The 15489-nt window shown below is 38.2% G+C and overlaps 1 protein-coding gene across 29 annotated transcripts in view; it reads right to left on the reverse strand.

The window, feature by feature from the left end:
• ZNG1F (Zn regulated GTPase metalloprotein activator 1F) overlaps positions 1-15489 on the reverse strand; it is a 74427-nt gene that overhangs the window by 17438 nt on the left and 41500 nt on the right. For 16 of the 29 annotated variants that reach the window (XM_017015028.2, XM_047423722.1, NM_001386877.1 and 13 more), the window contains 2 exons: positions 13587-13631; positions 7637-7693 (listed from right to left, as the gene is read on the reverse strand). In XM_017015028.2, coding sequence (XP_016870517.1) covers positions 7637-7693; positions 13587-13631 — 102 coding nt within the window. Of the gene's footprint in view, positions 1-7636; positions 7694-12191; positions 12276-12854; positions 12978-13586; positions 13632-15489 lie in introns of all 29 variants that reach the window. The other 13 variants (XM_047423720.1, XM_017015025.2, NM_001439295.1 and 10 more) reach the window with 4 other exon arrangements.

Below are 15489 nucleotides of genomic sequence, written 5' to 3' on the forward strand. Positions count from 1 at the left end.
CCAATTCATAAAGTAAAAGGGGTCCAATAAAACACTATCATGTCCTACCTCACAGGTTACTGTAGGTATTGTTTTCAAAATGTGAACAATACTACAGACTGAAGGTGGAAAAAAAAACTAGTTGAAAGTAGAATTAGTTTTTAAGGGCATGGCTAAGCCAAAATTAGAAATATATTTATAAGGCTGGGTGTGGTGGCCTACACATGTAATCCCAGCACTTTGGGAGGCTGAGGCATGAGGATCACTTGAGCCCAGGAGTTTGAGACCAGCCTAGGCAACATAGCAAGACCCCATGCTTATAGAAAATTAAAAAAAAAAATTAGTCAGGCATGGTGACACATGCCTGTGGTCCCAGCTTCTTGGGAGGCTGAGATGGGAGGATCACTTGAGCCCAGGAGGCTGAGGCTGCAGTAAGCCATGTTTGTGCCACTGCACTCCAGCCTGAGTGACAGAGAACCCCATCTCAAAAAAATAAATAAAAAGAAAAGAAATATATATAGGAATGGGAATTAGAACTCTCAAATGTAGAGCCACCCACTATGCCTACCCTTAAGCAAAATTGTCCCACCAATTCAAAATACCCAGAGACATGTCCATTTTCATGATCTTGTATGGACATATATGAGACTTATGAGATATTCATTGCAGCATTATTTCCAATAGCCAAGCTGTGAGAACAAGTTAAATGTCCACTAACAGAAAAAGGGATAAAGTAAATGTGGTATATGTAGAAAATGGAATATTATTCAGACTTAAAAAGGAAACCTTGCCATATGCAAAAACATGGATGAACCTTGATGACTTTATGCTACATGAAATCAACCAGTCACAGAAAGACAAATAATGCATGATTCCACTTGTGTCAGGTAATTAAAATAGTCAACCCCACAGAAAGAGTGTAGAATGGTGGATGCCAGGGGCTATGAAGACAGGGAAATGGGAAGCTGCTATTCAAGGGGTATAAAGCTTCAGTTCTAAAGAGTGAAACGTTCCAGAGATCTGCTGCACATCCTCATGCCTATAGTTAGCAATACTGTATTGTACACTTAAAAAATTGTTAAGAGGGTAGATCTCATGTTAGATGTTCTTACTACAATAAAAAAAGAAAAAGATACTGATGCACAAGAATAACTAATCTTTCTTCCCTCCCTTACCAAAAAGATTCCCCACAGGAGAAGGCAGAAAACTAATCCATTATTAAAGTGAAGAGAGGAGAGAGGAGCCAAGATGGCCGAATAGGAACAGCTCCGGTCTACAGCTCCCAGCGTGAGAGACGCAGAAGACAGGCGATTTCTACATTTCCATCTGAGGTACCGGGTTCATCTCACTAGGTAGTGCCGGACAGTGGGCGCAGGTCAGTGGGTGCGTGCTCCATCCGCGAGCCAAAGCAGGGCGAGGCATTGTCTCACTTGGGAAGCACAGGGGGTCAGGGAGTTCCCTTTCCTAGTCAAAGAAAGGGGTGACAGACTGCACCTGTAAGATTGGGTCACTCCCACCCGAATACTGCGCTTTTCTGACGGGCTTAAAAAACCGCGCACCAGGAGATTGTGTCCCGCACCTGGCTCGGAGGGTCCCACGCCCACGGAGTCTCGCGGATTGCTAGCACAGCAGTCTGAGATCAAACTGCAAGGCGGCAGCGAGGCTGGGGGAGGGGCGCCCGCCATTGCCCAGGCTTGCTTAGGTAAACAAAGCAGCCAGGAAGCTCCAACTGGGTGGAGCCCACCACAGCTCAAGGAAGCCTGCCTGCCTCTGTAGGCTCCACCTCTGGGGGCAGGGCACAGACACACAAAAAGACAGCAGTAACCTCTGCAGACTTACCTGTCCCTGTCTGACAGCTTTGAAGAGAGCAGTGGTTCTCCCAGCACGCAGCTGGAGATCTGAGAACGGGCAGACTGCCTCCTCAAGTGGGTCCCTGACCCCTGACCCCCGAGTAGCCTAACTGGGAGGCACCCCCTAGCAGAGGCAGGCTGACACCTCACACGGCCGGGTACTCCAACAGACCTGCAGCTGAAGGTCCTGTCTGTTAGAAGGAAAACTAACAAACAGAAAGGACATCCACACCAAAAACCCATCTGTACATCACCATCATCAAAGACCAAAAGTAGATAAAAACCACAAAGATGGGGAAAAAACAGAGCAGAAAAACGGGAAACTCTAAAAAGCAGAGCACCTCTCCTCCTCCAAAGGAACGCAGTGCCTCTCCTCCTCCAAAGAAACGCAGCTCCTCACCAGCAACGGAACAAAGCTGGACGGAGAATGACTTTGACGAGCTGAGAGAAGAAGGCTTCAGACGATCAAATTACTCCAAGCTACGGGAGGACATTCAAACCAAAGGCAAAGAAGTTGAAAACTTTGAAAAAAATTTAGAAGAATGTATAACTAGAATAACCAATACAGAGAAGTGCTTAAAGGAGCTGATGGAGCTGAAAACCAAGGCTTGAGAACTACGTGAAGAATGCAGAAGCCTCAGGAGCCGATGCGATCAACTGGAAGAAAGGGTATCAGCGATGGAAGATGAAATGAATGAAATGAAGCAAGAAGGGAAGTTTAGAGAAAAAAGAATAAAAAGAAACAAACAAAGCCTCCAAGAAATATGGGACTATGTGAAAAGACCAAATCTACATCTGATTGGTGTACCTGAAAGTGACAGGGAGAATGGAACCAAGTTGGAAAACACTCTGCAGGATATCATGCAGGAGAACTTCCCCAATCTAGCAAGGCAGGCCAACATTCAGATTCAGGAAATACAGAGAATGCCACAAAGATACTCCTCGAGAAGAGCAACTCCAAGACACATAATTGTCAGATTCACCAAAGTTGAAATGAAGGAAAAAATGTTAAGGGCAGCCAGAGAGAAAGGTCGGGTTACCCTCAAAGGGAAGCCCATCAGACTAACAGCGGATCTCTTGGCAGAAACTCTACAAGCCAGAAGAGAGTGGGGGCCAATATTCAACATTCTTAAAGAAAAGAATTTTCAATCCAGAATTTCATATCCAGCCAAACTAAGCTTCATAAGTGAAGGAGAAATAAAATACTTTACAGACAAGCAAATGCTGAGAGATTTTGTCACCACCAGGCCTGCCCTAAAAGAGCTCCTGAAGGAAGCGCTAAACATGGAAAGGAACAACCGGTACCAGCCACTGCAAAATCATGCCAAAATGTAAAGACCATCGAGACTAGGAAGAAACTGCATCAACTAACGAGCAAAATAACCAGCTAACATCATAATGACAGGATCAAATTCACACATAACGATATTAACTTTAAATGTAAATGGACTAAATGCTCCAATTAAAAGACACAGACTGGCAAATTGGATAAAGAGTCAAGACCCATCAGTGTGCTGTATTCAGGAAACCCATCTCACGTGCAGAGACACACATAGGCTCAAAATAAAGGGATGGAGGAAAATCTACCAAGCAAATGAAAAACAAAAAAAGGCAGGGGTTGCAATCCTAGTCTCTGATAAAACAGACTTTCAACCAACAAAGATCAAAAGAGACAAAGAAGGCCATTACATAATGGTAAAGGGATCAATTCAACAAGAAGAGCTAACTATCCTAAATATACATGCACCCAATACAGGAGCACCCAGATTCATAAAGCAAGTCCTTAGAGACCTACAAAGAGACTTAGACTCCTACACAATAATAATGGGAGACTTTAACACCCCACTGTCAACATTAGACAGATCAATGAGACAGAAAGTCAACAAGGATACCCAGGAATTGAACTCAGCTCTGCACCAAGCAGACCTAATAGACATCTACAGAACTCTCCACCCCAAATCAACAGAATATACATTCTTTTCAGCACCACACCACACCTATTCCAAAATTGACCACATACTTGGAAGTAAAGCTCTCCTCAGCAAATGTAAAAGAACAGAAATTATAACAAACTATCTCTCAGACCACAGTACAATCAAACTAGAACTCAGGATTAAGAATCTCACTCAAAACCACTCAACTACATGGAAACTGAACAACCTGCTCCTGAATGACTACTGGGTACATAACGAAATGAAGGCAGAAATAAAGATGTTCTTTGAAACCAACGAGAACAAAGACACAACATACCAGAATCTCTGGGACACATTCAAAGCAGTGTGTAGAGGGAAATTTATAGCATTAAATGCCCACAAGAGAAAGCAGGAAAGATCCAAAATTGACACCCTAACATCACAATTAAAAGAACTAGAAAAGCAAGAGCAAACACATTCAAAAGCTAGCAGAAGGCAAGAAATAACTAAAATCAGAGCAGAACTGAAGGAAATAGAGACACAAAAAACCCTTCAAAAAATTAATGAATCCAGGAGCTGGTTTTTTGAAAGGATCAACAAAATTGATAGACCACTAGCAAGACTAATAAAGAAAAAAAGAGAGAAGAATCAAATAGACGCAATAAAAAATGATAAAGGGGATATCACCACCGATCCCACAGAAATACAAACTACCATCAGAGAATACTAAAAACACCTCTACGCAAATAAACTAGAAAATCTAGAAGAAATGGATAAATTCCTTGACACATACCCCCTCCAAAGACTAAACCAGGAAGAAGTTGAATCTCTGAATAGACCAATAACAGGATCTGAAATTGTGGCAATAATCAATAGCTTACCAACCAAAAAGAGTCCAGGACCAGATAGATTCACAGCCGAATTCTACCAGAGGTACAAGGAGGAACTGGTACCATTCCTTCTGAAACTATTCCAATCAATAGAAAAAGAGGGAATCCTCCCTAACTCATTTGATGAGGCCAGCATCATCCTGATACCAAAGCCGGGCAGAGACACAACCAAAAAAGAGAATTTTAGACCAATATCCTTGATGAACATTGATGCAAAAATCCTCAATAAAATACTGGCAAACCGAATCCAGCAGCACATCAAAAAGCTTATCCACCATGATCAAGTGGGCTTCATCCCTGGGACGCAAGGCTGGTTCAATATATGCAAATCAATACATGTAATCCAGCATATAAACAGAACCAAAGACAAAAACCACATGATTATCTCAATAGATGCAGAAAAGGCCTTTGACAAAATTCAACAACCCGTCATGCTAAAAACTCTCAATAAATTAGGTATTGATGGGACGTATTTCAAAATAATAAGAGCTATCTATGACAAACCCACAGCCAATATCATACTGAATGGGCAAAAACTGGAAGCATTCCCTTTGAAAACTGGCATAAGACAGGGATGCCCTCTCTCACCACTCCTATTCAACATAGTGTTGGAAGTTCTGGCCAGGGCAATTAGGCAGGAGAAGGAAATAAAGGGTATTCAATTAGGAAAAGAGGAAGTCAAATTGTCCCTGTTTGCAGACGACATGATTGTATATCTAGAAAACCCCATCGTCTCAGCCCAAAATCTCCTTAAGCTGATAAGCAACTTCAGCAAAGTCTCAGGATACAAAATCAGTGTACAAAAATCACAAGCATTCTTATACACCAACAACAGACAAACAGAGAGCCAAATCATGAGTGAACTCCCATTCACAATTGCTTCAAAGAGAATAAAATACCTAGGAATCCAACTTACAAGGGATGTGAAGGACCTCTTCAAGGAGAACTACAAACCACTGCTCAAGGAAATAAAAGAGGATACAAACAAATGGAAGAACATTCCATGCTCATGGGTAAGAAGAATCAATATCCTGAAAATGGCCATACTGCCCAAGGTAATTTACAGATTCAATGCCATCCCCATCAAGCTACCAATGACTTTCTTCACAGAATTGGAAAAAACTACTTTAAAGTTCATATGGAACCAAAAAAGAGCCCGCATCGCCAAGTCAATCCTAAGCCAAAAGAACAAAGCTGGAGGCATCACACTACCTGACTTCAAACTATACTACAAGGCTACAGTCACCAAAACAGCATGGTACTGGTACCAAAACAGAGATATAGATCAATGGAACAGAACAGAGCCCTCAGAAATAATGCCGCATATCTACAACTATCTGATCTTTGACAAACCTGAGAAAAACAAGCAGTGGGGAAAGATTCCCTATTTAATAAATGGTGCTGGGAAAACCGGCTAGCCATATGTCGAAAGCTGAAACTGGATCCCTTCCTTACACCTTATACAAAAATCAATTCAAGATGGATTAAAGACTTAAATGTTAGACCTAAAACCATAAAAACCCTAGAAGAAAACCTAGGCATTACCATTCAGGACATAGGCATGGGCAAGGACTTCATGTCTAAAACACCAAAAGCAATGGTAACAAAAGCCAAAATTGACAGATGGGATCTAATTAAACTAAACAGCTTCTGCACAGCAAAAGAAACTACCATCAGAGTGAACAGGCAACCTACAAAATGGGAGAAAATTTTCGCAACCTACTCATCTGACAAAGGGCTAATATCCAGAATCTACAATGAACTCAAACAAATTTACAAGAAAAAAGCAAACAACCCCATCAAAAAGTGGGCGAAGGACATGAACAGACACTTCTCAAAAGAAGACATTTATGCCACCAAAAAACACATGAAAAAATGCTCACCATCTCTGGCCATCAGAGAAATGCAAATCAAAACCACAATGAGATACTATCTCACACCAGTTAGAATGGCGATCATTAAAAAGTCAGGAAACAACAGGTGCTGGAGAGGATGTGGAGAAATAGGAACACTTTTACACTGTTGGCGGGACTGTAAACTAGTTCAACCATTGTGGAAGTCAGTGTGGCGATTCCTCAGGGATCTAGAACTAGAAATACCATTTGACCCAGCCATCCCATTACTGGGTATATACCCTAAAGGACTATATGCACACGTATGTTTATTGCGGCATTATTCACAATAGCAAAGACTTGGAACCAACCCAAATGTCCAACAATGATAGACTGGATTAAGAAAATGTGGCACATATACATCATGGAATACTATGCAGCCATAAAAAATGATGAGTTCATGTCCTTTGTAGGGACATGGATGAAATTGGAAATCATCATTCTCAGTAAACTATCGCAAGAACAAAAAACCAAACACCGCATATTCTCACTCATAGGTGGGAATTGAACAATGAGAACACATGGACACAGGAAGGGGAACATCACACTCTGGGGACTGTGGTGGGTTGGGGGGAGGGGGGAGGGATAGCATTGGGAGATATAACTAATGCTAGATGACGAGTTAGTGGGTGTAGCGCACCAGCATGGCACATGTATACATATGTAACTAACCTGCACATTGTGCACATGTACCCTAAAACTTAAATAATAATAAATAAATAAATTTAAAAAAATCTCAAGAAAAAATAAAAAATAAAAAAATAAAGTGAAGAGAGTTATTTGTGTGAAAACGCTAAGCTAAAATTTTCTATGTATTTCATGCATTTTCTCATAGAAAGAGTATTAGACATAGTGTTTGGTGTAGAAGTGTTAACGATTAGCCTCTAAAATTAACTATCATTTACACTATAATTTCTACAGGAAAATGCAATATGATTTCCAAACAACCAATTAGTAAAACTTCCAAGAATATACCTCATTAAGAATGGTCTTGTATGCCAAAGGAATGGCAGGAAGCTTAAATCATGGATGCAATTGTGCAAATCATTCCTGTTAACTATGGGGAAAAAAGGTACATAACAATAAAAGTAACCAAATCATACAAAACATACCTTATTCCAGAGAGACTATCAAAGGCATGAAGATCTAATACATTAGAGAGATCAACTCTAAAAGGAAGAAAACTAACGTGAGCAGTTGGAAATTCTGTGAAATACATCCAATTAATCAAGAAAAAAAAACTCTGACTCTTAAAAAATTTTATACATAAAATTCATAGAAGTGGGCAAATGGTGTAAGATTTGAATCACAGTTGAATCAAGATTGAAAATTATTTGGTTATTACTTCAATGAATTAGGTTTTTTTTAAACTTTCAATTATCTTTTCAATGCTGAAATTTATGAGCTTTTCAAATACATTTTTATAGCTAAAAAATCAGCTAAAGAACAGAAACTTTTCCAAGCAGCTTATTACTCAAAAGATGAAACAAAAGAAATGACAAATAGAATTAACAAATAGGTACATTCCAGATACCTCTGCAATTTTTGTATTTCTTTTATACCCCCTCCCTTGATATAACATGTAATATAAAAATGAGGAGTCAAATAACCAATGTACAAAATATTAAGTTACTCTAGGACCCTGATCTTCACGTGATTTGATTTCATTCATTCAGAATGGGGCTGCATGTAGAAAGAAAATTCCCACCATCCGAATAGACATTATTTCTCTTAGAATTACTTAATGATAATTAAACTCATTTAATTGAATCCAATGATTCAAATCAGGTGAGAATAAATAACATATCACAATTAGCATTAGGTTTGGTTTAAATATAAAAAAGCAAATTTATAAAGACTGGTGATTGAGTTATAATTTTAACATAAGCCCAGAAAATCACAGAGGACAGGCTGGGCGCGGTGGCTCACGCCTGCAATCCCAGCACTTTGGGAGGCCGAGGCGGGTGGATCACAAGGTCAAGATCAAGACCATCCTGGCCATGGACAACGTGGTGAAACCCTGTCTCTACCAAAAATACAAAAATTAGCTGGGTGTGGTGGCACGCACCTGTAGTCCCAGCTACTCGGGAGGCTGCAGCAGGAGAATCATTTGAACCTAGGAAGTGGAGGTTGCAGTGAGCCGAGATTGCACCACTGCACTCCAGCCTGGCACAGAGTGAGACTCCGCCTCAAAAGAAAAAAAAAAAAAAAGAACAGCAGAGGACAGTGATTTCTCATAATCAAAGCTAAGGTGAAGAAATATTTAAAGAAAATGACAAATGTATAATTTCAAATTTAGATTCCAGAAGCTTGCCAAACATTTGTTAAATTTTCTTACAAGGAAAAAAAACATCATTGGTCAGATTCAAGATTTTTTTTTCTTTAATGCACAAACATATAAGAAAAAACATCTCCTTTATCTTAGGACTGACCAACTGTGCCTGCTTTCTTTATTCTCAACAGTCTATCACATACTCGTACTCGTGGCAACAATACTGTGTTAGATTACGAATGCTTGTCTTGGCAAAAGAGAGACAAATTCCCATCTTATTACTCCAAAGTTCTATGTTAGTAGACTATAACAGCAACTCAAATTCTGGGCATTTTAGATGTACAGAATTAGAAAAATGATCAAGCAAAGAAGCAAATGTTCTATGAAGAAATTTTTGAATATCAGTTTACACTAAAAGGCCAAAGTCTTAATATTAAACATATTTCCTTTTTCACCCCCCACCCCTCCCCCCGCTACTGAGCATATTTATATTGACAGGTCACAAACAAGGGGCACGGGGGCTCCACTTTGGGAGGCCAAGGTGGGCGGATCACTTTGAGGCCAGGAGTTTGACACCAACCTGGCCAATGTGGCGAAACCGTCTCTACTAAAAATACAAAAATTAGCTGGGTGTGGTGGTGCACACCTGTAATCCCAGCTACTCGGGAGGGTGAAGCAGGAGAATCGCTTGAACCCAGGAGGCAGAGGTTTCAGTGAGCCGAGATCGCACCACCGCACTCCAACTTGGGGGACAGAGTGAGATTCTGTCTCAAACCAGAGTGAGATTCTGTCTCAAAAAGATAAAAATAAATAAAAATAAAAATAAAAATAAACCAAATGAATGAAGTTTCCCTCCAAGTTTGTCATCTTCATCTTAGGAAATAGCTTAAAGTTTAATAAAGTTTACACATGCCAATTTTGTGAATATCAAATTCAACAGTTTGGAAACACAAGCTTCTAAATAAACTGTTTCACTGTGACAGTGTCCTTGAGAATACATGCCATCCAGAGGTAATTCTGCTTTATACTCAGATTCTTTCCATACTTCCAAAAAAGGATCAATATTAGACCTGTATAACAAATTACACTCTTTTACAGAAAATAATAAAATATCCAAGTCTCTCACCAAATTTTCAAAAAAGAGGAAAAGTGTAAGCTTCCAGATGAAAGTTTCTATAGCTTTCCCCAAATTTAGTACCACCATGAAAAAGAAATTCTTCACTCATTCAAGGCATACGACTAGAAAACTAATTTCCATGGCATCAAATTAATTTCCTCCTTTGGAGATAAAACCATGAGATCTTTTCCAAAGCATTAAAATCGCCAAGAAAAAAAAAAAAAAGGAAAAAAAAGACCATTACCAGCATTTTAAAACTGAGTAAGAGAATGAAGTAAACAAAAAAGGGAAAGAAAAAGCTTCAAAAGTTCATTTTTCTCCTAATTTCTTGAACTCTCTATTCCAGAAGTACCTAATGTTTTTCTTAAAAGAGAGGCTTTCAATTTTTCCCTATGTCTAAAGGCTGCTTTAAGTAGCTTAAGACCAAGGACAGGAAAGTGAAAACGAAGAGGGTTTTGGCTCTCCTCGGTGGGGGTGGAATTGCAGCTACTGCTTAGGGATATTTTCCAGTGGTCATCTCTTCAAACTCCAGTGAGTCTCATAAACAGGGTGCACCAGCCAATCCAAGTATCCAGTATCTACAATGCAAACTGTAGATACTATCCAAATTGACAGTAGATAGCTCAGTAAATAGCTGAGCAAACTGCAATGATAGCTCAGTCTTGAACTCTGGAAATAAATTTCCAAAAGCCTTCCCCAGTGGCACTTCAAACTCAAAAACGTTTACAAAACTAATCACATTTTCCAAACCTGCTTCCACCACTACCCGACCTGTTGCTCCTCCTTCCTGTATTTCCTATACCTCGGAGATTAGTCTCACATTGAATCTACCTCCCAAGAGGCATGTTGCTTTTAAAATCCTTCACTAACTCCTTGCTCCCTACAGAAGAAAATCCAAACTATGTATCATGGCATTCAAGACCCTTTGTGGTAAGTTCTCTATCTCTTCAGTCATACCACTTTTTCTGTGCTACATAATACCAAGTTTTCTAGCCATTCTAAAATATTCAAAGGTCCCTGGAATACAAAATCTTCCTTATACCTGGAAAGTTATCCCTACCCTACTCCATCTGTAAAAACCTTATTCATTCTTTAAGACTCAGGTCAATGACTGCCTTCTCGGTCAATATTTTCCTGACTCTTTTTCAAGAAAAGTTGAGCAATCATTCCCTCTATTTTCCTATTATTATAGAACTCTGTGCTTTTAAAATTCTTGTATTAATATTAATATCTATTATGTTGCCTTTTTGTTTGTTTGCTTCTGTTTCCCCCCAATGACTGATCTCCTTAAAGGCAGAGTTTTTGCCTTATCCATTGCTTATATAGTCCTTAAAATGCTATGAAATGCATAGCAGGCAGTTTGTCAAATTAATTTAACTTATTATTGACCAGCTGTGTTTTGGTTTTCCTCTGTTCAGTCCACTTACATTTCTAAAAATTAAGAAAAAGTCTAGAGAAGATTAAAATGACACATCTTCTAACCTTTTACTCCTACTTCTGAAATCTATGTGGTTCACTAGTACTTCCATTTGCTACTAAATCAACTTAAGTCTTACCACTAAGACGATGCTACACACTATTCCTTTTCCTTACTCTTAACTACTCAAGGTGAGCCTTTTTCTACACATGCTTATAGCAGTTTATTGTCAGTACTTGTCAGCTACAAAATGGTAAAAAAATTTTAAAAAACAAAAAATAAAACAAAACTTCTATAAGAGTGACTTTGACTATTTTGTTAACCATATCTCCGGGTTTTTTGTTTGTTTGTTTGTTTTTTTTTTGAGACAGAGTCTCGCTCTGTCACCCAGGCTGGAGTGCAGTGGTGCGATCTCAGCTCACTGCAAGCTCCGCCTCCCGGGTTCACGCCATTCTCCTGCCTCAGTCTCCTGAGTAGCTGGGACTACAGGCGCCCACCACCAGGCTCAGCTAATTTTTTGTATTTTTAGTAGAGATGGGGTTTCACAGTGTTAGCCAGGATGGTCTCCATCTCCTGACCTCGTGATCCGCCCACCTTGGCCTCCCAAAGTGCTGGGATTACAGGCGTGAGCCACCGCGCCCAGCCCAAATCTCCAGTTTCTAAACTGGTAAGCTCAAGTTGCTATGCCTCAAGGAATTTGAGAGAATATTTAATATAAGATTCAGGACCCAATAGTAAGAATTCTACTCAGGACATCTGATCTTCATTGAAAAGGATTCTAATCCAACTTCAGTCCTCATAGCAAGGAAGTACTATTTCAGAAAGTCCCTAGATTCTCAGATGCATTGGCAAGCACCATACACTGAAGAATTCACAGAAGATTTTAGTCACTTGCTCACTCATCCACTTGAAGTAAGAAAAATCAATCACTGCATGTTTATTGTTCTATAATAAAGCAAATGTTAGAAATAAAAGTTAGAAATGTCAAACACACTAAATTGTTACATAATAAACTAATCAAGACACAACTTTTATTCAGGACATGGATATTTCTGAAATGAAAATAAAAGAAGAGAATTGACTTAAAATGTTTATAAATACGAATATTATGACAGAACCAAAGCTATTTATGAGCATTATTTTTAAAAGCTTGTTTAAGTATCATGCACTTGTCTGTGTGACATTTTGTAAAGCGGAGAAAAATTAAGGAGAAAGGAATTGTAGAACACTAACAGGAAGAGGACAGATACTGAGGAATGGCTCATGGTATAAGTGAGATTATCAGAGACTCTCTACAATGGAATTTGAAACGCAGGGAGCACATTTGGTGTATGGTTGTAGAGGACTTACACTAAGGGCATTCTTCTGCTACCTCTGCCAGCAGATGAGTGGCTCCTGAGAATGCATACCAAATTAATTCCCCAGCTGTTCACATGCATATAAGCAGCTGCTGCTGTTACTGCCTAATACTTATGGCAGTCTGTCAGCACCTCTAATCTCTGCCATAGCAGACAAGCCACTCACCTAAGGCCTCTGCTGTACTTCCAAAGAAAGAATTTCTCAAGTAGAGACTGAGTGGAACTAGACTGCCAGCTGTGAGCCTCAGAGCTCCTGGCTGCCTGTTGCTGAGTCTATCAGCTGCTGAGCCTTTCTCACCAAAAAAAAAAAAAAAAAAAAAAAAAAAATGAGCTTAATAAAATAACCCTGCACAGAAATTTTCTGAAATTAAGATAACATTCAATGGAAAACAGAATTTAATCTACAGAAATACACTTCACAGATGTTTTAGGAACAGAACCTAGAGAAAATGAAAGTCAAAATTTAATAAAAGAATTTGTCAGGAACTTCAAGGTAAAGACTCCATGTATTTTTTGGCAACTATAAAACACTAAGAAGGCTTTTTAAATATTAAAAAGCCATTTAAACACTTCAAATTAAGATTCCTCAATATACTTCAGATTTCTGTACTGAGTTACCCTCTCGAGTGTTTGGAAGTCTTTTCTTCCTCATTAAGCAAACACTTACACAGTGTTATCATGGCTTTGTAATCTTAGTTTTGAAGACAGGCAAATGTACTAGCCAAATATGCCAAACTAACTTATTAAGAGCATTCCAAACAACATTTTGGATCCAATTCTTTTTAAATGCACTTAGATCTTTCTTATATCAGAATCAAGCATATTTGTCAATTACTTAATGTTTATTATTAATAACTAAAATGATTTGTTATTAATAGGAATAGCTTTTTTAAAGTACCTTGATCTTTGTGTTTCTAAGATTTGTCCTAGTCCATTTATGGATCTGAAATAAATAATAAATGAGGAAGACAAAGTTTAAAAGTAAAAATTAACTTTTTAAAAAAGTATACAAAGTATATTGTTTCTAAAACGGGAAATAAGCATACCCAAATACATCTGGAACCAGAAAAAAATTAAAAACAGAAAAACAAAACTTGCTTTAAAAAATAATTATGATTTTCCTTCAAACAATAAATCACATATATTCCACTCATACATCAATAAAACATATATGCAAAAATTCACACAACTGTCAGATTAAGGGATACTTTGTGGTTAATAAAAAGACGCTTCACTTTAGAAAAAATCATTCATAAATAGTCAGTTATCCCAGTGTTCTTAAAAATGAGCAGATACTCAAAATTTTTACGGTGGTCACTTTTTTCCTCAGGCATACATGGTAGAAATGGCTATATACACACTAAAAATAAAAACCTAGTTGTAAGTTGCTTTGCCCCCAGCCTGTCCTTAGTATTCACAGTAATTCTAAGTCACACATCCCAGGTTCCTTTATAGAATAACCTCGTCAGTTCCCTAATTAGGCTCTCTACCCGTTATGCCTGTTCTCCCTCTTTTGATACTATAGAATATGGCTTTGTATGGAACCAGAAAGTACCTGTTAAATTCTTTTCAACACACTGTACACCTCATCTATTTATCTTTTCCATTGCCTATCATCAATCATCAATTCTCTATCATGAATTCAATTGTCTTTAGGGTTACTTACCCAAGATTCTTGCTACTTGTTCAAGTTTGTTCTCATGGGTAAGGCTTCCCACATATAATGATTCTGAGGCAAGTCTCTCCACTATTTTACAAAATTCTTAAATCTTCTTTTTTGAATACACTCTAGTCTGATGGCTAATTCCTCTCAAACATGTTTACCTTTTTTCACCTCCCCAAATATCATTCTGAGTCAGTCACAAGTCTGATATAAACGGAGGGTAAAAGCCAAAAGGGTGTGTAATTTACCAAATTGCTTCTACCAAATTCATTTCTAGTACTGTTAACAAGCTGGCTAATAGTCAATATTGTCAGTGTCAGAGATTTAGCTTAGGTCTCTATAAGGATATAAAAGTCAAGTAATAATTATCATTCCTTTTATGCCAAAAACGTTTGCTAAATAGATTGTGTTCTTCTTAGCAATCACAATGGTGCACAAGATTTATGAAGAGAAACAAGATTAGAAGACCAGTGTCAAAAAATGTAAAAGCAATCTTCATTCATCACTTTCTCCTTTTCAAAATCAGCCATCTTTTTCTTTCTTCCCTTTTTTACTATACCTTGAACTTACTATGTAAGCTAAGAAAAAAATTACATAATAATAGCTAACAGAGCACTTACTATGTGTCAGCACTGTGCAAAGTTTACCAACATTGTCTCATGTAATACTCAAAGCAAACTTATGATAGGCATTATGCCTTTTACAGAGGAGGCTTTAAAAGGGTAAATAAGCTCCCTAAGAAGACAATGAGAAACAGACCAAGGATTAGAACCCAAGCAGATTCCAAGGTCTGTGATCTTCAACACTACGCAACAATACCTACCCTCCACATGGAGACATTATATTTTTTTATAGTAAAGTTTAAGGACATTACTATTAAAATAAGATGAAATATGTGGAAAAAATATGAATTTCTTTCTTCCACAATCATTAATCATGGCAAATAATCTCCTAATGAGCCTTACTTTTATTGATTCAATTTATAATATATACTATATGAACTGAGATGACACATTCAAAATCTAGTCAGTAGAACTTATAAATACTAAGAATAGTAATTTTGAGCCATCACGCTCAAAGCATTGTACACATTAAAGATAACCAATAATAATAGCTACCGAATGTCTCTCTGTATAGG

Source organism: Homo sapiens, chromosome 9 (genome assembly GCF_000001405.40).
Source record: "Homo sapiens chromosome 9, GRCh38.p14 Primary Assembly".
NCBI classification, from domain to species: Eukaryota; Metazoa; Chordata; class Mammalia; order Primates; family Hominidae; genus Homo; species Homo sapiens.